Source organism: Homo sapiens, chromosome 7 (genome assembly GCF_000001405.40).
Source record: "Homo sapiens chromosome 7, GRCh38.p14 Primary Assembly".
NCBI lineage: Eukaryota > Metazoa > Chordata > Mammalia > Primates > Hominidae > Homo > Homo sapiens.
In genome coordinates, this window is record NC_000007.14 from 71,635,477 (window position 1) to 71,659,567 (window position 24,091).

General features: G+C 45.9%; 1 protein-coding gene across 2 annotated transcripts in view, besides 1 other annotated feature; it reads left to right on the top strand.

Moving 5' to 3' along the window:
• The window catches only part of GALNT17 (polypeptide N-acetylgalactosaminyltransferase 17), a 581,456-nt gene that overhangs the window by 503,333 nt on the left and 54,032 nt on the right, over positions 1 to 24,091 (top strand). The gene's annotated exons all lie outside the window — the stretch shown is intronic.
• Positions 11,740 to 12,241: an enhancer, noted in NCBI's record as "H3K27ac hESC enhancer chr7:71112201-71112702 (GRCh37/hg19 assembly coordinates)". NCBI's record gives its function as "activates a minimal SCP1, AML or CMV promoter by ChIP-STARR-seq in naive H9 embryonic stem cells {active_cell/tissue: H9 hESC(naive)}" and the evidence as "EXISTENCE:reporter gene assay evidence [ECO:0000049][PMID:30033119]".

Consider the following 24,091-nt stretch of genomic DNA (forward strand, 5'->3'; position numbering starts at 1 on the left):
TGAGGGGCCTTAGAATTTCATTTTTGTTTACACATTATATTTGTATGTATTTATGGGGTACATGGGAAATTTTGTTACCTGCATAGAATGTGTAATTGTTACCAGAAAGGGGTCCTGATCCAGACCCCAAGAGAAGGTTCTTGGATCTCATGAAAGAAAGAATTCAGGGCGAGTCCATAGAGTAAAGTGAAAGCAAGTTTATTAAAGGAATAAAGAATGGTTACTCCATAGGCAGGGCTGCTGGTTGCCCATTTTTATGGTTATTTCTTGATGATATGCTAAACAAGAGGTGGATTATTCATGCCTCCCCTTTTTAGACCATATAGGGTAACTTCCTGACGTTGCCATGGCATTTGTAAACTGTCATGGCGCTGGTGGGAGTGTAGCAGTGAGGACGACCAGAGGTCACTCTCGTCACCATCTTGGTTTTGGTGTGTTTTGGCCAGCTTCTTTACTGCAGCCTGTTTTATCAGCAAGGTCTTCATGACCTGTATCTTGTGCCAACCTCCTGTCTCATCCTGTGACTAAGAATGCCTCAACCTCCTGGGAAGGCAGCCCAGTGGGTCTCAGCCTTATTTTACCCAGCCCCTATTCAAGATGGAGTCACTCTGGTTCAAACGCCTCTGACATAATGATCAAGTCAGGCCATTTGGGGTATATCCATCATCTGAGTATTTATCTTTTCTATGTATTGGGTACATTTCAAGTTCTTTCTTCTAGCTATTTTGAAATGTGCAATACATTGTTGTTCACTATACTCTGTGCTTTAAAATCTTGCTGCAGAAGAGATGTGGCTCATAGCTAGAAGCAGGGAGTGGGGGACACAGGGAGACTATTAGAACACTGCAGTTCTCTGGGGAAGATGGTGGACTTGGGAAGAGGCAGTGGGGACAGGTGGGATAGGCTCCCAAGGAAGGAGGATGGACAGATCCAACACATAGGGGAAGGGCCACATCTCCCCTGTAACAGGAGGGTAGGTGGGAATCTGGTTCAGGTGGAGGCAAACTGGTTTGGCAACAGAGGACTGAGTGACTTCCCACTGGGTGGTTTCCGTTTGCTCCAGTAAATAGCAGGCGACGTCATCAGCTGAAAGTGAGAAGTGGTTGGAGATCTGAGAACAGGGAAGACTGAAATAGCTGCAGTGAAGACCCAAGAAGGAGTTTTCCGGGTAGACTTAGCAGGCTTCTCTGGCTGTATCAAGTGACCAGTTTAGGTTTGAGGACATACATTGATAGTGACAACTCTGTGTGCCTGTACATTTTTCTCCAGTCTTATTCAGTCGTTGGGATATTGGTCCAGAAAATGCAGGTGGTTGGTTCAATCCCAGGTTGTGGTTTTGCCATGTGAGTGCAGTGATAGGTCAGTGGTACAAGAGGTAAAACAGTAAGAGGGTGTGGAAGTGATGGAGAACAGACTGTAAGCTGGGGACGAAAAGAAGAGAAATGCATAGCAAAAATAGAGGAGTAGTGTCTGCAGATGGCCAGGATTCAAATCCCAGCTCAACCTGGGATGGAGTCGGATGACTTAGAGCTATTTTTTCTTTAACTCTCTGTGCCTCAGTTTCTTCATCTGTAAAATGGGCAGCACAGTAGCACATAACTCATCATGTTATTACGTGATCGAATTAACAAGGAGTTAATAAATGTAAAGTGCTGAAAACACAGTTACATGCTAGCTCTCATTACTTTGTTGTTGTTATTATTTATTTTTATTTATTTATTTATTTTTGAGACAGAGTCTTGCTCTGTTGCCAGGCTGGAGTGCAGTGACGCGATCTCGGCTCACTGCAACCTCCATCTCCCAGGTTCAAGTGATTCCCCTGCCTCAGCCTCCCAAGTAGCTGGGACTACAGGCACAGCCACCATGTCCGGCTAATTTTTTGTATTTTAGTAGAGACAGGATTTCACCATGTTGGCCAGAATTTTTCTGGTCTTGATCTCCTGACCTCGTGATCCACCTGCCTCGGCCTCCCAAAGTGCTGGGATTACAGGCGTGAGCCACCGCACCTGGCCATTTTTTTTTTTTTTTAGCCATCAAGTAGCCTGAGGGCTTCCCTCCAAATAGGTTTAGTGGGAGTAAGTGAATGAGAGAACCAGAAGAACAGAAGCCTGAGGTCAGAGTGAGATGTCCCAAATGGGGCCAGGATGGAACCATGGGAACAGGGGCTTGCCAGGGAGGGTGAGGGTCAGTCGAGATAGGGAGTTTGGGACATAGCTCAGCACTGACTTGGTAGATGAGTCACAGGCTGGGATCTCCTGTACGCTGTCGCTGTGCTCAGCCAGCATGTCAGACCATCTGCTCCATCTGGTGAAGTGAGCAGTGCTAATATTGCTGGAAAGGGGTCCCGATCCAGAGGCCAAGAGACGGTTCCTGGATCTTGCGCAAGAAAGAATTCAGGGCAAGCCATAGAGTTAAGTGAAAGCAAGTTTATTAAGAAAGTAAAGGGTTAAAAGGATGGCTACTCCATAGGCAGAGCAGTCCCAAAGGCTGCTGGTTGCCCATGTTTATGGTTATTTCTTGATGATATGCTAAACAAGAGGTGAGTTATTCATGAGTTTTCCAGGAAAGGAGTGGGCAATGCCCAGAACCGAGGGTTCCTCCCCTTTTTACACCATAGAGGGTAACTTCCTGACATTGCTGTGGCATTTGTAAACTGTTATGGCATTGGTGGGAGTGTCTTTTAGCATGCTAATGCATTATAATTAGCATATAGTGAGCCTTGAGGAAGACCAGAGGTCACTCTCATCACCATCTTGGTTTTGGTGGATCTTGGCCAGCTTCTTTACCGCAACTGTTTTATCTGCAAGGTCTTTATGACCTGTATCTTGTGCCAACCTCCTATCTCATCCTGTCACTAAGAACACCTAGCCTCCTGGGAATGCAGCCCAGTAGGTCTCAGCTTTATCTTACCCATCCCCTATTCAAGATGGAGTTGCTCTGGTTCAAATCCCTCTGACACTAATATCAAGTCTTAGAGTGGTAGATGAAGAAAAGAGGCTGTCCCTCCCCTGGAAGGTTAGGAAAGGGCTTCTGGAAGAGGGTCCCTGGGCCTTGAAAAGAGGGTGGGATGTGGACGAAAAGGGCATCCCGATACAGACACGGCATGGGTAGTCCTTGAGGTTAGAATGGACGGAGAAGCATGCAGTGAAGTCTAATGTGGATGGCTGGGGAGGTGAGTCTGAGAGTGTAGGTTTATCAAGGTCTAATCAGACAGGTCTTTTGGTATTCTGGTTTTAGCACCTGCCATCCAAAGAGTAGGTGAGGCCTCTAAGTCTGGATTCTGCATACTGCGATCCATGACGTTAGGTAGGTGGACAGTGCTGTTTCATTATGTTAAATGAAACAAGCCAGACACAGAAAGGCAAACATCGCATGGTCTCACTTATTTGTGGGATCTAAGAATTAAAACAATTGAACACATGGACACAGAGAGTAGGATGGTTATCAGAGGCTGGGAAGGGTAGTGGGGGGTTGTGCAGGGGAGATAAGGATGGTTAATGGGTAAAAAATAAAAAATAAAAAGAATGAATAAGACCTACTATTGGATAGCACGACAGGGTGACTATAGTCTATAACAACTCAATTGCATTTTAAGATAACTAAAAGAGTTTAATTAGATTGTTTGTAACACAAAGGATAAATGCTTGAGGGGGGATGAATACCCCATTCTCCATGATGGGATTATTATGCGTTACATGCCTGTGTCAAAACGTCTCGTGTACCCCATAAATATATACAGCTACTGTGTACCCACAAAAATTAACATTTGTTTGAAAAAAAAGGAGTCAACAGATAAAAACCATTTGAGGAGACTTGAATGGCACTTGGTGATTTGATGAGACCCTCTGTCCTGTCTAACTGATCTGCACTCTCTTGTTCGGTGTTCACACTTAAGAGAAATGTAACCATCTGTGGAGGCCCCATCTTCTCCTCCTAGGTGATCTGGGCTGTGCCTACTGGTGTCCCAGAGATGACAGCTGTCCATCATCCTCTTTGGCTGGTGTCTCTATTTTGCCTTCAGAGGTTCTGACACTGAGCGATTGCACGAGGAGGGCTGTGGGGAGGGCTCGCCTCCAGGGAGTGAAGCTGAACTCCCTGCTACCTCTGCCATGGAGATGAATAATTGTGAACGGCCCGGGAAACATTTAAACCCACCTAAACCATAGCACACAACCGAAAGCAGCAAGCAGGGAATGCTTTAAGCTGTTAAATGCTGTGCGAACATGCACAAAATCCTATTATCTACTGTATATATTGAAAAGCTAAAAACAGCAAACTTTCTGAGGTTCATAAAGCATTGTTCTTGGTTGCAACTTGGAGATTTCCATTATTGCTTTGGCTGTTGGAACCTTTAGGTAATCTCTTTCAGAGGGGGGTGAGCTCTGACAAGGCAAAGGAGAGGATGGTTGATTGCGGGAAGATCGCAGCCCATGAATATATCTCCAGCACCATTTGCTCTGAATAAGGATAATCATTTCTCGCAATCTGGAAACCATGTTATTTAGAAAATTAGGGTAAGTGCAAAACAAAGCAAGAGTGGGGAAAAAAACAACGTTCATCTTAGAATATCAGGATGCCGACAAAATGATAAATCATGCACCATTTTTTCCAATAAGATTTGCATGAGTGTGATTTCTCATGGTTACTATTCCACTCCAGTATTGATGGTAAATTTTTAAATCCATCATTTAATATGGTCCCTTTGCAAGAAAGAAAAGATCAAGATATCCACGCAGACTTCTTATTGCTAATGAAAATCAAGCACCTCTTTGGTTCGATTTTCCCTCTTGTAAAACTTGTATTTGCAGGAAGATTTTTTTGTAAGTCTCTTGAAATCTGCATTCTACATTTTTTTTTTAGATGATGGCTGGCCATAGCTCCACACCAGGGGCTCTTGGCTTGGAATCCACTCATCTCCAAGGAGTCTGTGATCATATCTGAGTCTGTAAACTTGGTCAGAAATATAAAATACATGTTGATGTTTCCCTAATCTCTAACTGATATTAGTGTTTGTTTCTTTAATGAATGTAGGCTAGACATTTTTATATTACATTCTAGTTGTTGTGGCTATCTTGAAATACTTAAATATCCTCTTGACTACTCTCAAATTTATAGTAGTTAGTAAACCAAACAGTAGATCTTGTTATTTAAGGTGCTAAAGAAGCACATAGGTTATATCATATTTTAAAAAAACCAATAACTATATTTCAACATAGTTAGTCTTTAGTAATCCTGTGCATTTTGTTTAATTTGATGCACTTAAATACATTATTTTCTGTAATTCCAGCTACTTGAGAGGCTTACCCAGGAGGATCACTTGACCCCAGGAGTTTAAGACCAGCCTGGGCAACATAGCAAGACCCCATCTCAAAAAAAAAAAAACTAAACTAAAAACATTATTCCGAGAAGGGATCCACAGTTTTCACCAGATGCCAAAAGTGTCTGCAGCACAGAGCTTTAAGAATCTTTAGCTGGTTTCTGACAGTTAGATTCCCTAACTGTGATAAAATGCAGATTCTGAGGCCCCTCCCAAAGCCTGCTATATCAGAACCTCAAGGAATGGGATATAGACATGGATGTTTATCAGAAGCTCCCCCAGGGAGCTGGGATGCAAGCAGCCCAGACCAGAGGTCTGTCATTGGGAACCTGTGGCTTAGGTTATCTGTATCCCAATAACCATGATCTCAGGACATAGGGGTTGGTAGACTTGGTCATAGAAAAACAAAGTCTTCTTACACTTCTTGGGGTATATGTGGTGGGAAAGAGAACAGAGGTTAAGCAGACCCACGTTTTGAATGAATTTGGTCACATAACTTAATAGGTGTGTGTCTTGGGCATTGTTGACCTTCATTTCCTCATCTGTAACTCGGGAATTATAGAAGGACCTACCTAATGGGCTTTGTCTTAGTCTGTTTGAGCTGCTATAACAAAATACCGTACACTAGGTAGCTGATAAACAACAGAAATTGATTTCTCACAGTTCTAGAGATTGGGAAGTCCAAGATCAAGGCAGATTCTGTGTCTGGTAAGGGCCCACTTTCTGGCTCCTAGACAGTGCCGTCTTGCAATGTCCTCACGTAGTGGAAGGAGTGAGGGGTGGCTTGTTCCTCTTTCATAAGGGCACCAACCCTATTCACAAGAGCTCCACTCTGAGGACCTAATCACCTCCCAAAGACCCCCATCTCCTCATCCTGTCACCGAGAGGGTCAGGATTTGAACACATGAATTTTGGGGAGACATGGACATTCAATCCATTCCAGGCCTGTTGTAGGAATGAAATAAAATAATGCACAAATGAATATAGAGCACTTTGCAAAGTGTCCAACACACAGTAAGTGTTCAAGTCTTAGCTGCTGTGGATGGTGAGGATGCTGCTGCTGCTGCTGATGATGATGATGTTCTTGATAGTAATGAGCTAGTCTAGTTAGCATTTCTGAGGCTAATGAGGGAACTGTGGTTATGGAATGACAGCAAGATCTGGCTTCCAAAGCTTGGTAGAGAATTTCGGCTGGAGGTTACAATGCAGCTGAGAGGCCCCATTGAAGCTGATCTCAGTGTCCCCAGCATCAGCTGTCCCCCCACTATGGGACAGGGCTGACATGTTACTGGGAACACGAGGCTGTCTGCTGATGCTCATTCAGTGATCCAGAAAGGGTACCATCATTCCTCCCTCTCCCAAATCTTGCATCTCATGAACCAGGCATCTCATTTTCCCAAAGAATCCTTCCCTTACAGCAGGCCAGAAAGCTATTGTCCTAGCCTATGGAAACACCTAAAACACACTGGGGAGATGTGGACACTCAGCCCATTGCAGGCTTGTAAAAATGAAATAAAATAATGCATAAATGAATATAGAGCACTTTGCAAAGTATCTGACACTTAACCAGTGTTTTAAGTGTTTCAATGGGCAAGGACAATAGTTTTCTGAGAGGGGATTTTTAATGGCTCTCCAAAAGCAGGCCCCCAAGGTAAATAACAGAATGTGCTGCAGATTCATGGACAACCAACTCCTTCACATCCTTAGAGATGAAATTCTTTGAAGAAAGATTTTCCTTTACCAAAGCTCTTCTAGATTCTTGACTGGGTGCAGTGACTCACACCTGTAATCCCAGCACTTTGGGAGGTGAGGCAGGTGGATCACTTGAGGTCAGGAATTCAGGACCAACCTGACCAACATGGTGAAATCCCGTCTCTACTAAAAATACAAAATTAGCTGGGTGTGGTGGTGTGCACCTGTAATCCCAGCTACTGGGGAGGCTGAGACACGAGAATCACTTGAACCCAGCAGGCAGAGGTTGCAGTGAGCTGAGATTACACCACTGCACTCCAGCCTGGGCAATGGAGTGAGACTCTGTCTCAAAAAAAAAAATGAACCTCTTCTAGATTCTCTATTCCTTCTATCAGCCAATGCTATCCAGGTTCCCTTGAGGCAGTGCCCTGCCTGTCATTAAATCTACGGAAAATGTATGAAGAACAGGTTTTTCTCTTAACCCCCAGGTGTTCCTCATAAAACCCAGGGGTGGCAAGAAAATACAGGAGCACATCGCATGTTTTGGGACAGTCACACATGATGAACTTCGTCGATAGGATGGATGGCGCTTCAAATTTTCCAGGACAAAGACCTGGGGTGGTCTCTGGAGAAACCCCAAGCCAATGGTTCTTTAAGGTTTCAAGATCAACGCTATTCAGAACTATCAAAACCCAGCCACAGGCCAGGCGAAGAGGCTCACACCTGTAATCCCAGCACTTTGAGAGGCAAGGCAGGTGGATCACCAGAGGTCAGGAGTTTGAGACCAGCCTGGCCAACATGGGGAAACCCTGTCTCTACTAAAAATACAAAACTTAGGTGGGCGTGGTGGCGTGTGCCTGTAATCCCAGCTACTCAGGAGGTTGAGGCAGGAGAATCGCTTGAACCCAGGAGGCGGAGGTTGCAGTGAGCTGAGATTGCACCACTACACTCCAACCTGGGCCACAGAGCGAGACTCTGTCAAAAAACAAAAACAAAAACCCAGCCACACACCCCAGCATTTTTACAAAAGGGAAAAAGGGATGCATTCAAGATAATACAATGACATTCCTATGTTTTCTCTGAGCCAGAGAGCAGAGAAACATTGTGGCTAAGGTGGCTTTCTTTCTGATCAAGGTTTCTGTGAATGGGCAGTGTCCACACATGAATTCTGCCTAAAGGCTCTGTGGGAGCCAGGCTGCGAGCTGATTGCAGCAGCAGAAGGCAGCAGGTAGGAGATGACATTTTAGAATTGTTCAAACAGACCCCAGGCCTAGAAGATATGCCAGACACGGTGTTAGGAGAGAAAGAACAAAGCGACACCAGAAACAATCGTTTAAAAATTTAAAAGACCATTTCCCTTTATCAACTCCACAGCTGGCTACCATTCCAGTAAATTTCTAAAACATGAAACTGGCCCCAGCAGGGCAGAGAAGTGAATGGGATGGGGCAGGCCAGTGACATTTACAATCTCCAGGTGCGATATCCAGCTTTCCTGGAAGCTGAAAAATGAATTGTTTTCTGGGAGAGAAACAGAAATAAAAGTATTGGTTGGTCATAACCTCGGGGAAGCCTCTTGTTTCTGGATACCTAATATTTATAAAAGAATAGGGTTCCTGTGTGCATTTTAAAACTCTGGGCTGGGAGCAGTGGCTCCTTTCTGTAATCCCAGCACTTTGAGAAGCCAATTCATGAGGACAGCTTGAGACTGGAGTTTGAGACCAGCCCGGGCAACATAGTGACATACCGATTCCACAGAAAAGAAAAATAGAGGCTGGGCACGGTGGCTCACACCTGTAATCCCAGCACTTTGGAAGGTCAAGGTGAGCGGATCACAAGGTCAGGAGATTGAGACCAGCCTGGTCAACACGGTGAAACCCCATCTCTACTAAAAATACAAAAATTAGCTTGGTATGGTGGCATGCGCCTGGAATCCAAGCTACTTGGGAGGCTGAGGCAGGAGAATTGCTCGGGAGGCCAAGGTTGCAGTGAGCCAAGATCTCACCACTGCACTCCAGCCTGGCGACAGAGCGAGACTCCATCTCAAAAAAAAAAAAAAAAAAAAAACAAAAGAAAAAAAAAAGAAGAGAAAGAAAGAAAAGAAAAAAGAAAAGAAAAATCAGCCAGGCATGGTGGTGCACACCTGTAGCCCTAGCTACTTGGGAGGCTGAGACAGGAGGATTGCTTAAGCCCAGGAGTTCAAGGCTGCAGTGAGCTAGGATTGTGCCACTGCTCTCCAGCCTGGGTGACAGAGCAGAGACCCTGTGTCTCTAAATAATAATAATAATAAAGTAAGTAAAATTCTACACATTACAAGTCAAAATAGCAGATGAAGAGTGCTGGGGGCAAGTCACTCTGGCTCCTGGAACAAGCAAACCTCCAAATCTCAGTGGCTTAGTATGGTAAAAATATGTTCCATGGTTGGCAGGTAGCCTTCCTGGTGGTCATTCAGTGACTTTAGCTTCTTTAACACTGTGGCTCCTCCATCATCAACAGGTGGCTTCCAAGGTCTCCATGCAGTGGGAAAAAAGAGGATGGAGAATGCACACTGGCTTTTCAACCATGGCAGGGTTGTGCTTTACTTAGACCCACATTTACTACTGAGAACAAATCTTACAGCCACATCTGTCTGCAGAAAAGGCTGGACTGGGTGTACTCAGGAGGCTCCTGGCCTTTGCCTGTAAGAATTAGGAGGCGCCAAAGCTGACACCAACTTTCTCCAGGTGTTATCATAAGTGGATTAGGTCTGTCCACAGATGGTGATATGGTTCGGTTCTATGTTGCCACTCAAATTTCATCTCGAATTGTAATACCCACATGTCATGGGAGGGACCTGGTGTGAGGTGATTGGATCATGGGGCCAGTTTCCCCCATGTTGTTATTGTGATAGTGAGTGAGTTCTCACAAGATCTGATGGTTTTATAAGTGTTTGACAGTTCCTCCTACACACCCTCTCTCTCTCCTGCTGCCTTGTGAAGAAGTGCCTGCTTCCCTTTCCGCCATGATTGTAAGTTTCCTGAGGCTTCCCCAGCCATGCAGAACTCTGAGTCACTTAAACCTCTTTCCTTTATAAATTACCCAGTCTTGGGTAGTATCTTTATAGCAGTGTGAAAATGAACTATTACAGATGGTTATAGGCCCAAGAAGAGTATCACTGGCTTTCTGTTCTGGGGAACAAAATAGAAGTTTCCATTCAATAAAAGGGACTGAGATTTGTCATTTCTTCAGTGTATAAGTACCTCCTCCACTTCTAGGATCCTCTCCTGATCAAAGCCCTAATGTTTACATTTAAAAACCTGAAGAGGAGAAAACCTGACTTCAGTTGTGAAGTCAGCTGGTGGAGTAATTTACCAATTGGCAAATATCAAGCCTGCAGGCCCAATTTCACATAGACGGGTCATGTCATGGTTGTGAATGTCATTTTGTGCCTAGGCCTAAGTGAAATGGGATCTGTATTTGTCTTTCCCTGGCTTTAAATTATCTGGTATCACCAGCAGCACTGACTGGCACCATGTCCTGGAATGTCTGATCTTTTGATGTGGCAATATCTCCTCCCCTAAGGCCACCTCCCTCCCCAGGTTCCATCAGTCCATGACTAGACTTGGCATTTTGCCTCCAAGTTCCTAGGCTCTGATACACCATCGTGGAACAGAGAACAGCATTTCTGCCCCTAACCTTACTGACGTTTTAACACCCATTTCAGAAACCCCGGATTTCCTGACTTCCATAGCTTCTAACCCAGCAGCTAGTCCCACACTTTTAAAAATTTAATTGATTTTATTTGCAGTTTATGCAAAAAGAAAAGGATGGGATGGAGCTCCAAGAAGGGTTCTGAGAACATTCTATGTTGAAGTAAGTAAGCAAAGGATAACCCAGCTCAGCATGGCAGGACCAGGGCTGTTCCTGGAGCACCAGCAGCCCCAGCCACAGGCCACCACCTTCCTCTGGGACTCAGCGTGTTTCTATCTCATGAGTAGAATGGAGAGTGGATTCACTCTGTTTAAATTTAATTTATAGCTATTTTCTCACTCTCTATTCTCTTTGCCAAGCCTGAGAATGGAGTGCATGTTAGTTTATCAGATGTAGTTCCTTGCATGCATAAGTTCACAGAGGAATCACATGGGTCAGACCCCTCATCTTGGCTGTAACAAAAGCAAGTGAGAGGCTGAACCCTCCTATGCTTGGACCATGCTTCTTTATGAGTTGCCTCCTGCCACAGACAGTATGTTTGGTGGCTTGGTCCCAAAAGGGGCATCCAAGTTTCCTTTTTTTTTTTTTTTTTGAGATAGAGTCTCGCTCTGTCACCCAGGCTGGAGTGCAGTGGTGCTATCTCAGCTCACTGCAAGTTCTGCCTCCCAGGTTCATGCCATTCTCCTGCCTCACCCTCCTGAGTAGCTGGGACTACAGGTGCCCGCCACCACACCCAGCTAATTTTTTGTATTTTTAGTAGAGATGGGGTTTCACCGTGTTAGCCAGGATGGTCTTGATCTCCTGACCTCATGATCCACCCACCTCAGCCTCCGAAAGTGCTGGGATTACAGGCTTGAGCCACCGCCCCTGGCCCAATTTTGCTATTTTTATTTATTTTATTTTATTTTTTGAGACAGAGTCTCGCTCTGTTACCCAGGCTGGAGTGCAGTGGTGCGATCTTGGCTGACTGCAACCTCCACCTCCCAGGTTCAAGTGATTCTCCTGCCTCAGCCTCCTAAGTACTGGGATTACAGGTGCCCACCACTGTGCCCAGCTATTTTTTTTTTTGTATTTTTAGTAGAGATGGGATTTCACCATGTTGGCCAGGCTGGTCTCAAACTCCTGACTTCAAGTGATCTGCCTGCCTCGGCCTCCCAAATCACTGGGACCTGAGGCATAAGCCACCATGCCCAGCCCAAATCTGCTATTTTTAAACAACGACAGGGATGGGGAGACAAGTTGGAGGCCTGAGAGCCTGCCCAGTTCCTCCTGCTCCTACAGGAACTGGAGAGGAGTGTGAGTGACAGCTTCTCCTGTCCTCTGTTGATACCCTCCATTTTCAAGCCCCAGTGACCCTAACTACTGGCACTGAGCAGGCAGGCTTTCAGGCAGAGGCCCCTCCAGGCCCTGGAAGCCCATGGCTCTGTTTTCTGCAAGCCTCTTACCTCTACCATTGCTTCTGTGTGCTGGAGTCCATGCTCTGTCCACTGTTCCTAGGGATGTCTGTGGCCATGAACACATCCCCATGGACCTCTGAGCAGTGCCCAGTAATCATACACATTCTCCAAGCCTCTGTGAACCCACTGACACCACCTGACAGCAGTTCCACTCAAGGAAATCCTTCAGCTTGCTCTGCTTCCAGCCACTTAGGCCAGGCTGCAGTCCAGGTGTCTGGGGGGCCGTCTAGTGAGACAACAAGAGAGTCCTCACAGCCAGGCAGGGCAGGAAGCGGCCTGGCCCACCAACAGCCCACACCCATTGCGGGCTGTGCAACAGGGAAAAACAGAATGTGGACAGAGGGACACACAGTGAGCCTGTAACCCCTATGCCAACATCAGCAGCTACCACTTCCTCACTTCCTCTGGGTCCTCACAGTCATTATCTCCAACCTGCCCCTCCCATGGGCCCACACAGAGGTGGTGGCACCGCTACCACTCAGGAAACAGTTCACTTCACAGCTACACAGCTATTCTCTTGGCTAGTAAATAATAACTACTTTGGTTTTTCTCAGCATTTACTATCATGTTAATGAGTGTTCCATACATTATCTCATATTACCTTCACAACAACCCTCAGATCAGCTGCTGTCATGAGCTACTTTTTTTTTTTTTTTTAAGAGACAAAGTCTCACTCTGTTGCCCAGGCTGGAGTACAGTGGCTCAATCACAGCTCACCGCAGCCTGGAACTCCTGGGATCAAACAATTCTCCCGCGTCAGCCTCCTGAGTAGCTGGGACTACTTGTGCATGCCACCATGCCCAGATAACGTTTTTAAAAAGATTTTTGTAGAGACGGGGTCTTGTTATGTTGCCCAGGCTGGTCTTAAACCCCTGACCTCAAGTGATCCTCCCTTGGCCTCCCAAAGTACTGGGATGACAGGCATGAGCCACTATGCTTGGTCCACTCCTTTTTTAAGTTGAAAATAATTTTTATTTATTTATTTTTCAGAGAGATGGGATCTTGCTATGTTGCCCAGGCCGGTCTTGAACTCTCGGTCTCAAGTGATCCTCCTGCCTCAGCCTCCCAAAACACTGGGATTACAGGCATAAGCCACCAAGCCTGGCCCTCAGCTGCGTTTTATGGCTAAGGAAACTGAAGATCAGGCATAAAAGTAGCTAGGCAACCGTGAGACCTAGCCTCAATTGTGGGCAACTCAGTAGTAATTGGCAATGACTTTGATTTCAACTCAACCAAGAGCCAGGATTTGAACCCAGTGCTGTGACTCCAGGACTATCTTTCTGTAATGTCATGCCATACAATGAAATAACAAAAGGGTTTGTGGAAAGCATGAAGCCTTATGGGCCCCACATTGGTGCCCAGTTCTAGGTGATGTCTTTTAGGGTCCTCTTCATCCTCTTCCTCCCATCTGCAGGGATGGTTCTGCCCCCATTACCCAGCTGTCACCACTGGATCTCTCTCCATTTGCCAGCCCACCTGCCCTGACCTTGAGTCCTAATCTCAGGCCCTTGGGCTTGGTGGCTTGCTGCAAGGTGCTTCTCAAGCTCTGCCGACAGTTGAGAGCTCTGTCCTGGCCCAGATCTCATGTTTGTGCACCAGATCCAAGTTTTGTGACCTTGAGTGAGGGATTCTCACATCTCATGGGCCATTTTTTAGGACCACCAGTTTCAATTTTCCATTGTGCCATAACACACCAATACACCAAAACAGCAGGAGTTGCAGCAGAGAAAGATCATTGGTCAGCCAAATGAGGAGATGGGAGGAAACCTAAAATCTGCCTCCTCAAAAGGTTTGGGATGGAGTTTTCAGGGGGTTTTTAAGAGGATGGGTGATTGGCTAAAGTGTGGGGATTCCTGACTGGTTGAGAAGCAAGAGGATGAAGTCCTGGGACAGGAAGATGAAGAAACTGTATGCCTGTCCTGAGTCAGTTCCTTGGTGGGGGTCTTCAGATTGGTTAGCCATTCTGCTGGAATTCAGGATTAAACACACACACACACACACACACACACACACACATACACACCTTAAGCAATTATTGGGTTAAAAGGTCCAGTGTTAGAGATTTTATCTATAGGAACAATGAGGGAGCAGGTAGTCAGTGTGCTACGTGACCCTTGAATAGTTAGCAACTGCAGGGAAGTGGATTAAAGTGCACCTGTGTACCCTGATCAATGTCTAACCATAATTCTGCCTAAAGCCTGGCTTGTAATTCTCGTTAACCCTATGAGGGCAATTTCAGCCTCCTTCTGGCATCTCCTGAGTAATAGAGAAGAGTTCAGGAAGTTGCCAGTCAAGCTTCTTTCCAAGGGGTATCTCAGGCATGCCTGGCTGGCTGCATCATAAAGAACAGGAAGTCCATATTAGATGGTGGCCAATGTGCAGATGTGCAGTTTAGTGTGGCAGAGCCATGCTGGCTGAGCAGTGCTGACTTCTCCCAAGTCCTAGCCCCAAACTCTAGACAACCCAGTACCACTGTCCTTTCTGCAGACTTATGGGACCAGTAATTGGGAATGCCTTTTATTTTGCCTTTACCAAGTTGAGTTCAGTTAGGGAATCTGAGTGCCAGAGAGAGTGATCACAAGCTTTGCTGGGCTTTTGGGCCATATGACATCAATCATGCTATTTATTTATTTTGAGATGGAGTCTCACTCACTCTGTCGCCGAGGCTGGAGCACAGTGGCATGATCTCTCTTCACTGCAACCTCCACCTTCTGGGTTCAAGTGATTCTCCTGCTTCAGCCTTCTGAGTAGCTGGGACTACAGGCATGCAACACCACACCCAGTTAATTTTTGTATTTTAGTAGAGACAAGGTTTTGTCATGTTGCTTAGGCTGGTCTCAAACTCCTAGCCTCCCAAAGTGCTGGGATTACAGGTGTGAGCCCAATTATGGGATTACAGGTGCCTGGCCCAATTATGCTCTTTAAAGGATGTGGACAGACCCGTCCTCTTCAGATCACTGTATGCAGTCTGAAAGCTCTGGCCCTTTGGTGTTGAAGACACAGAATTAAATATAATTCACTATTCTTTTATAGTTAAACATAGCTTATCTATAATTGTGCCCTACCAACTCCTTTAATCCCAGGCAAAATGCAAAGAAATGACAGTAGAAGGATGGAGGACATGCATGGATAAGGGAGTGAATACAGTGTTTTCACCCTCCCTGCTCTGCCAGCTTCTACACCAAAGGTTCTAAAGTCATTTTCAATACTTTCCTGGCATTCTATTTTTAAGCTCTGAGGAAAGAATAAAGGCTATGAGCCTGGCAGTGACATCCATGTCTAAATTATCTTTATACCCCTGGCAGCGTTTAGCTTGGAGCTCTTAGTAAACATGTAGATAGCACTGGATTGAATAACTAAGGAAGGTAAATTGTTAGAAGTTAAAGGCATCAGGCTGGGTGCTGGGAATACCAAGAATAATAAAATGCTTAATACTTACTTAGTTGAAGCTGTTGTAGAGAGAGGACTAATGGACCAGTGTTTGAACTGTCAGAGTCGGGAGGACAGAAATAGAGTGAGAGCTAGTAGATGTGAAGTAGTGGGTGGTAGGGAAGAGGGAATGCAGGAGAGGAGAGGAAGGGATGGGAGCACAAAAAAAAAAAAAAAAAAAAAGGAAGGGAGGTGGGGAGAATAGGACAAAGCCAATCTAGACATGCCTGATCCAGGCTACTTTTTAGGCTTTTTTTTTTTTTGAGATGGAGTCTTCCTCTGTCGCCAGGCTAGAGTACAGTGGTGCGATCTCGGCTCACTGCAACCTCTGCCTCCCAGGTTTAAGCAATTCTCCTGCCTCAGACTCCTGGGTAGCTGGGACTACAGGTGTGTGCCACCACACCCAGCTAATTTTTTGTATTTTTAGTAGACACGGGGTTTCACCATGTTGGCCAGGATGGTCTCCATCTCTTGACCTCATGATCCACCTGCCTCGGCCTCCCGAAAGTGCTGGGATTATAGGCGTGAGCCACTGCACCCAGCCTTTTAGCCAATTTTCTAACATCAAAGCCCTGGTCCTCTATGACAGTCACAAGCTATCTATCAGGCTGGGTCATAAGACTGGGATGGATTTTGTTTTCTTTTTATTAATTATTATTTTTATTTCTTTAGAGACAGGTTGTTACTCTGTTGCCCAGGCTGGAGCGCAGTAGCACCATCATAGCTCACTGCAGCTTCAGTCCCCGGGGTTCAAGTGATCCTCCTACCTCAACCACCTGAGTTGCTGTGACTGCAAGCATGCGCATCCATGCCCAGCTAATTTTTAAATGTTTTCTTATAGATGGTTGTCCAGGCTGGTCTTGAACTCCTGGCCTCAAGCAATCCCCCCCAGCTCGGCCTCCCAAAGCATTGGGATTACAGGCATTAGCCACCGTGCCCAGCCTGGGTTGAATTTTAAAATGGTGAAAATAAACCCATATTATTCTTTTCAGTACATAGTAACAGCAACAAAAATCAAAAGAAAAGAAAAAAGTCCTCCCAGCCCTACTTCTGGGCTCTATAGATCAAGCTGCTTTCAATCTGCATTTCTTGACTTCTCTGAACTGCTCATCACAAAACACTTCATCTTAATTCCTCTTGCCAGTCAATGACTTGCATTGACTGGCAAGAGGATCCACGTATTTAGAAGTTCTTACCACCGCGGTACTTAAATTGAGATATGTCTTGAGGTCCATATTTGTCAATCCCATTTCTGAGAAGCAGTCATAAATAAAGCAGAAGATTGAAATTGAATTTTTTAAAAGGACTTTAGGAGGAAAGCCATTATGCAACCGTCCCGTTTAGTGAAAGAGAATGTTGATTTAAACTGGGAAAAGTCAGCTCACCATCTCTAGCATGGCAGAGAGAAACGCTGAGGAAAATTCTCCCTATTTTCAGGAGTAGTAGCTTGCTCCTCTGGGAAGGAGGTTACCAGAAAGGCCCGCAAATGATTGGTAGGATGCGAGTAACAAATTAAAATATTCTCTTTGCCAGAAACCTGTGTTGTTGAGAATCAGACAAAGGGCTAAAATTTGCCTGCGCTTGGATTACCAGATGGTGTTATTTACGTAATTTATGCGTTAAATTTCCTCCAGTGTTGCTTTTAACAATGTAAATGGATTTAAATGGCTTCCTAAGTGAATTCCTTTTGGTAAAAAGAAGAATTCCTGTCAGTAGGAAGGAAGACATCAGAGACACATGCTCCAGAGGTGGTGGAACATCACTCTCTATGTTACAGAACCCGCCATAGCTCGCCCATCTGGCTCTGCAAACCCAAACACTGACATTGCAATTGCAGCGAGAGAAAGTGAGGCAGTTATTGCAGGGCGCCCAGCAAGGAGAATCGGGCAGCTCATGCTTAAGACCTGAACTCCCTGATGGCTGGTAGGGAAGGGTTTTTGTTTGTTTGTTTGTGTTTGTTTTTGTTTTTGTTTTTTTTGACAGAGTCTTGCTCTGTTGCCAGGCTGGAGTGCAGTGGCACAATCTCGGCTCACTGCAACCTCTGCTTCCCGGGTTCAAACAATTCTCCTGCCTCAGCCTCCCAAGTAGCTGGGACTACAGGCACCTGCCACCACACCCAGCTAATTTTTGTATTTTTAGTAGAGACGGGGTTTTACCATGTTGGCCAGGTTGGTCTCAATCTCTTGACCTCGTGATCCACCTGCCTCAGCCTCCCAAAGTGCTGGGATTACAGGCATGAGTCAACGCACCCGGCCCTAGGTAAGGGTTTTTAAAGGCAGAGAGGCAGAGGTTACAGGCAAAGTCAGAAATTGACACATGGAAGCTGTACATTGTTTCGACCTATAAAAGTAGGACTTTTTTTTTTTTTAAGACTTTCTCTCTTGTTGCCCAGGCTGCAGTGCAATGGTGTAATCTCAGCTTATTGCAGCCTCTGCCTCCCAGGTTCAAGCAATTCTCCTGCCTCACTTTCCTGAGTAGCTGGGACTATAGGCATGTGCCACCACACCTGGCTAATTTTTTGTATTTTTAGTAGAGACAGGGTTTCGCCATGTTGGCCAGGCTGGTCTCGAACTCCTGACCTCAGGTGATCCACCTGCCTTGGCCTCCCAAAGTGCTGGGATTACAGACATGAGCCACCACGCCCAGCCAAAAAGTAGGACATCTTGAAGCAGGGCCCAAAGGTCTAAGGTGGAGTCAAAGATTTTCTGATTTGCGATTGCTCCAGGATGCAAAGCTCTGTGTAAAAATCTGAGGTCAGCAGAAAAGAACATTAGTGCTCCCTCATGGACATGACCTCCTCCAGACCCCTTGGGAAGAAATTTAGAAACAAGCACTGTGGTCAGAGTTCAGTCCACAGTTCCCCCTTATCTGAGAGTCTACCTGCCAGCAAATCCCTTGAGTGGGGTCTGAGTTTCTGAAAAACAGCTCAAGAACATATGCTAAGATGTTATCTTATTTTTTTTATTTTTTATTTTTGAAATGGAATCTGGCTCTTCACCCAGGCTGGAGTGCAATGGCACAATCTAGGCTCATTGCAGCCTCCACCTCCTGAGTTCAAGCTATTCTCCTGCCTCAGCCTTCTGATTAGCTGGGATTACAAGCACCTGCCACCACGCCCAGCTAATTTTTTGTATTTTTAGTAGAGACGGGGTTTCACCGTGTTAGCCAGGATGGTCTCCATCTCCTGACGTGATCCGCCCGCCTCCAGCCTTGTGATCGGCAACCGAAAGTGCTGGAATTACAGGCATGAGCCACTGCGCCCGGCCGGCTGGAGGGTTTTATGGGAGAGGGATATGGGGAAACTGTGTAGAGGTTGGACTCAAGAAGCAACTGAGGACGGCAGATAATCTGGGCACCAGCAAGAGTCCTAAGTGATTGGGAACTTCTTCGTCCTTGGTTAGATCCCAATGTTCCTGTAAACCTTTAACAAAACATAGTGGTGTACCTACTTCCCCTGTAATCCCAGAGTTAGTTTCAAAACTATGTGATTGCTGCTTTGCATTGTATATCAGTGCTCTCAAATTATCCTAACTTGCATGCAACAATGAGTAAATTCCCCTTAAACAAAAATGGACTAGTTATGTTAATTTCTTGTTGTTTCACTGTTACGTTAAGAGACAGTGGTGAAATCTTTAACTTCAGGTATCTATGTGCCTATGCTTTCAGGAAGAAAGCTTCTGAAAATAGATCACAGGCTTTCACCGGGAGGGTTTTATTTTATATTTTATTTTATTGCATTATTTTATTTTGAGATGGAGTCTTGCTTGTCGCCCAGACTAGAAAGCAGTGGCACGATCTCGGCTCACTGCAACCTCCACCTCCTGGGTTCGAGCGATTCGTCTGCCTCAGCCTCCCGAGTAGCTGGGATTACAGGCACCTGCCGCCACGCCCAGCTAGTTTTTTGTATTTTTAGTAGAGAAGGGGTTTCACTATGTTGGCCAGGCTGGTCTCAAACTTCTGACCTCAGGTGATCCGCCCACCTCAGCCCCCGAAAGTGCTGCTAGAATTACAGGCGTGAGACACCATGCTCAGCCTACAAAATATTCAAAAATTAGGCGTAGTAGTGTTCAGCTGTGGTCCCAGCTACTCGGGAGGCTGGGGCAGGAGGAGTGCTTGAGCCCAGGAGTTTGAGGTTACCATGAGCTACAGTCATGCCACTGCACTCGAGCCTGGGAGACAGAGTGAGATCTTGTCTCTCAAAAAAAGAATCAAAGAAAAAGATTCAAAAAACTTTCTGCTACCTGGAAGGGAATTTTGGACAGATTAAAAGAAGTATTGATATACCCAGCAGTAGTTCAGATCTGATCGGGTAGTGTGTCTTCCATGATCTAGAAAACATTCCTGAATTCATTACTTGGGGAATTCCTGGCAGTCTCCAGATGATTCCTCAAGAAAGTCAACACCGGGGTAGGCAGCCTCTGCGGTCTGCTGTTTTCTGTTAGCAGAGGCCATAGTTCTGCAGACTGGGCCATGGTATCTTGAGATGCCAGAGCTGAAAGAAACCTCAGAGATAGCCCCCTGTCATTTACAGATGAGAAAATAGTTTCCGGGGGAAGAATGCATGTGCCTGACTTCTGGGAGAAATGGAGCCAGTGGCCTTTCCCACTAGAGAGTAAAATGATTGATCTTTCTTGGGTCTATCTCAGCTCTTGCTAGAGAACATCTCCCCACTGATTCCAGGCTAGGCTGGGCTGGCTGATGTTGACATACTGTAGGGTAGATTTGCACCAGAAGGGGTGCCAGGGAACAGCATTCTTAGAAGCATCAGGGTGGTTCTGGGTTTGTGGGAAGAGCGTTTGGGAAGAGACTCAAATCTAGCTCGTGTTGAGTTCTATAAGGGCCCTTGGTTGACTGACTTTAACTTTCTCTGCCTGGCATATTATATCTTCTAGTCTATTTCCTTTTCCTTTCTTTAATTTGTTCCTCTTTTCCCACCTCCTAGGCCCCCTCTCCAGACAATTTCGCTGCTTACTCCCTCCAGCCCCTCTCCATTCATTAATGTATGTACACATTCACTCATTGATTAAGAACTCAGAACTCTTTGGGTACTTACTTATGTTCCAGGCACAGTGCTGGGCAGTAGGGACACAGGATGACACAGTCTGTCCTCATTGAGGTAACAGCCTAGTAAAGAAGGGAGAAAGTAATTTTTTTTGCACGCCCACATGCTGGCAGGATCATGCAATTACAACCGTGATAAGGGCTATGCTAGCATGTTATAGGGAACTCTGTTTTTATCTGGGGCTTCCTTGAGTAAGCACTGATGGAGCTGAAAGCCAAAGTTTGATTAGGAGTTAACTAGGCAGATGGGGGAGGAGTGTCCCGGGCAGGAATGGGGCACAGGGGAGGACAAAAGGAAACATCATGGGATTGAGGGGAGCTGCAGAGATGAGGCTGCAGGGGGAGGCTTTGAAGACCACACGAAGATTGAGGATTTATTTTCAGAGTGGTCGGTGGGAGCCATCGAAGTTTGCAGGGCCGTGGAATGATCAGTTCCACCCTGGCTGCTGAGCGGAGGTCAGACTGAATGGAGTTGGATTCGGAAGTGGTGGCTGTGGTCCAGGTGGGAGATGGTCGTAGCTTGCACCAAGGTGATGAGGGAGGAGAAAATGATCTGGTGGTCATAGTGGATGTGAAAGGAAGTGGATGCAGTTGAGCTGTAGTGAAGAGGCATCATCTGCAGGACTTGGTGATGGATTGGCTGGCGCCTAGGGAGGAAGTGGTGAGGATGGTGCCTGGCTTTCTTTCTGGTATATGTAGCTTCCTTGCTCAATTTGAGTGACGGAGGTCGTGGGGAGAGAGAACACACTGTCTTTCTGCTCCGGGCCACCTGCTATAATAGCATGCAAGCTCTTTCAAGAGAGAGCTGCCCCCTGTTAGTGCCTTGAAGATCCCTGGAAAAGTGGCTTTCACATAATCAGGGCACCCAGGGTTCTCAATTTAATGGCACAATTGAAAACTCTCACCAGAATATTTTGGATCCAAACCTACTTATGCCCGAATGATCCTTCCTGCTGCTTTTGAGAAACTCCTGGCCTCTAAAAGTCACAGGACAAGACCAGACCTTGAATATTAGAATTCTATGACAAGGTGAGAACAGCTGCCTCACTGTTAGGGCAGTAGATTCCAAAGTGGGGTACACAAGATGATGTGGACCATTAGAGGGACAAGAGGAATATATTAGCACTCATATTCTAATGTCATTTTTGGATTTCTATATATCTAAATTTTTCATGTGTAAAATATATTAGCATAGTAGTATGTGCATGTACTGAAAAATAAATAAAGTAAATATATTGGAGAAGGTATGCTTTACATTTTTAAACATCAAAAATGTTTGGAGCCCATAGCCTGTGAGCATAGTGAATATAAATGAACCAGTCATGTTGGCTTTGATGGCTTGGCCTCCTCTTTCCTCCCTGGCTGCCTAGGCTCCTCAGTGACAGGTGCCCAGGGGAGCAGGTGGCCTGGGCAGTACCTGGCACCCTGCATCCTCATTTGTTGCCTGTGGCTCTTCCGGGGTCCCTGAAGCTACTATCCAGCTGTCCAGGCTGTGGCAGAGCACAGCCCTTGCTTAAATTCTTTCAGCTTCTGTAAAATTGAGTCATCAGATCACAACCCTGGAAATGATATTAGAAGCCTTCTAAGCTGGTGGCTCTCAAATGTGGCTACACATCTCAATCCCATGGGGGGCCTTTTTACATACACCCAGGTGCCTCAACTTCATCCCTGGGGAATGTGATTTATAGGGCTGGGGTGGGATCCAGGTGTTTGCAATTTTATTTCATTTTATGGATGGATGGATGGATGGATGGATGGATGGATGGATGGATGGATGGATGGATGGGTGGATGGATGGATGGATTGACAGGGTCTTGCTCTGTCATCCAGGCTGGAGTGCGGTGGCATCATCATAGCTCACCGCAGCCTTGAATTCATGGGCTCAAGTGATCCTCCTGTCTCAGCCTCCTGAGTAGATGAGACCACCGCCATGTGCCACCACACCTGGCTAATTATTTAATTTTCTTTTGTAGAGGCTGGTCTCGCCATGTTGCCCAGGCTGGTCTTGAACTCCTGGCCTCAAGGAATCCTGCTGCCTCAGCCTCCCAAATTGCTGGGATTCCAGTCATATGCCACTGCGCTGGGCCTAGTGAAAGTGTTTAGTAAATGATGAAGTTGAATGTATGAATGAAACATGTATCAAAAGATGTAACTAAACCAACGTGCCACTGAAGACTCTCCAAAATGATGAAAATCAATCCCCATTGACATTCATCTCCCATAGTGTGTCTTCTTCCAGGACATCAGCTGTCAGGAAGCAGAACAATGTGTCCTGCCTAAGACTTCCCAGACCCCAGAGTCTTGTGATGGTTTCTTTTGCCTCATCCCTTCCATATTCCAGAGGCCTGGGTAGTTTAGGGCAGGCTTTTTGCCCCAATGAATGAAGCTTCAGTATATCCAGTGGCTAGGGGTCATTCATAACCCTCCTTCTCCTTCCAAGCCATATCCAATCTATTGTTGATGATTTTGCCTATTAAAAATCCCTCGGCCAGGTGCGGTGGCTCACACCTGTAATCCCAGCACTTTGGGAGGCTGAGGCAGGTGGATCACTTAAGGTCAGGAGTTCAAGACCGGTCTGGCCAACATGGCAAAACCCCATCTCTACTAAAAATACAACAATTAGCCGTCCACGGTGGCACACGCCTGTCATCCCAACTACTTGGGAGGCTGAGGCAGGAAAATAGTTTGAATCTGGGAGGCGGAGGTTGCGGTGAGCCAAGATCATGCCACTGCCCTCCAGCCTGGGTGACAGAGCAAGACTCTGTCTCAAAAAAAAAAAAATCCCTCAAATCTATCTACATCTCTATTTTGTTGCTGTCACTAAAGCTATCAGCTCTTCTTCCCTGCAAAATAGCAAAGCATTCTTGTTTTCTCCATCTCCCCTCTTCATGCTGCCAGTCTTTTCCCCACAGTTCAGCCAGAGTGATCTTTTCAAACCCAAATTCTTCAGTGGCTTCTCATTTACAACAAAGATCAATTTCTTTTTAACATGACCTCCAGGTAATTGCCTGGTGTGGACCCTGCCTACCTCTCCAATATTTTCCACTATTCTCCTCTCTTCCAGCCCTACTTTCTGAATCCATTTTCTACGTTCCAGCCACATGGCTATTCTTTCAGCTCTTTGAATATCCTCTATGTATCACTTATGTATTGCAGTGTAAGCCCAAATTTAGTGGCCTAAATAACAATTGATTGGATTAAGATTCTGAAGTTTGGAAGTCTGGGCTGCGGTCAGCCAGGTGGTTCTTCTGCTCCACATGGCCCTGGCTATGCTTATGCACACACTGGCATTCCACTGATGGGTTGTCTTGGGGGTGTACAGTCTCACATGGCCTCACTCCCATGCCTTAGTCTTCAGCCATGATATCTGGAATAGCTGGGCCTCTATTGCTCCATTGTCTTTTATCCTCAGCTTCCTTACAGCCTGACGGGCTCAGAATTCCAAGAG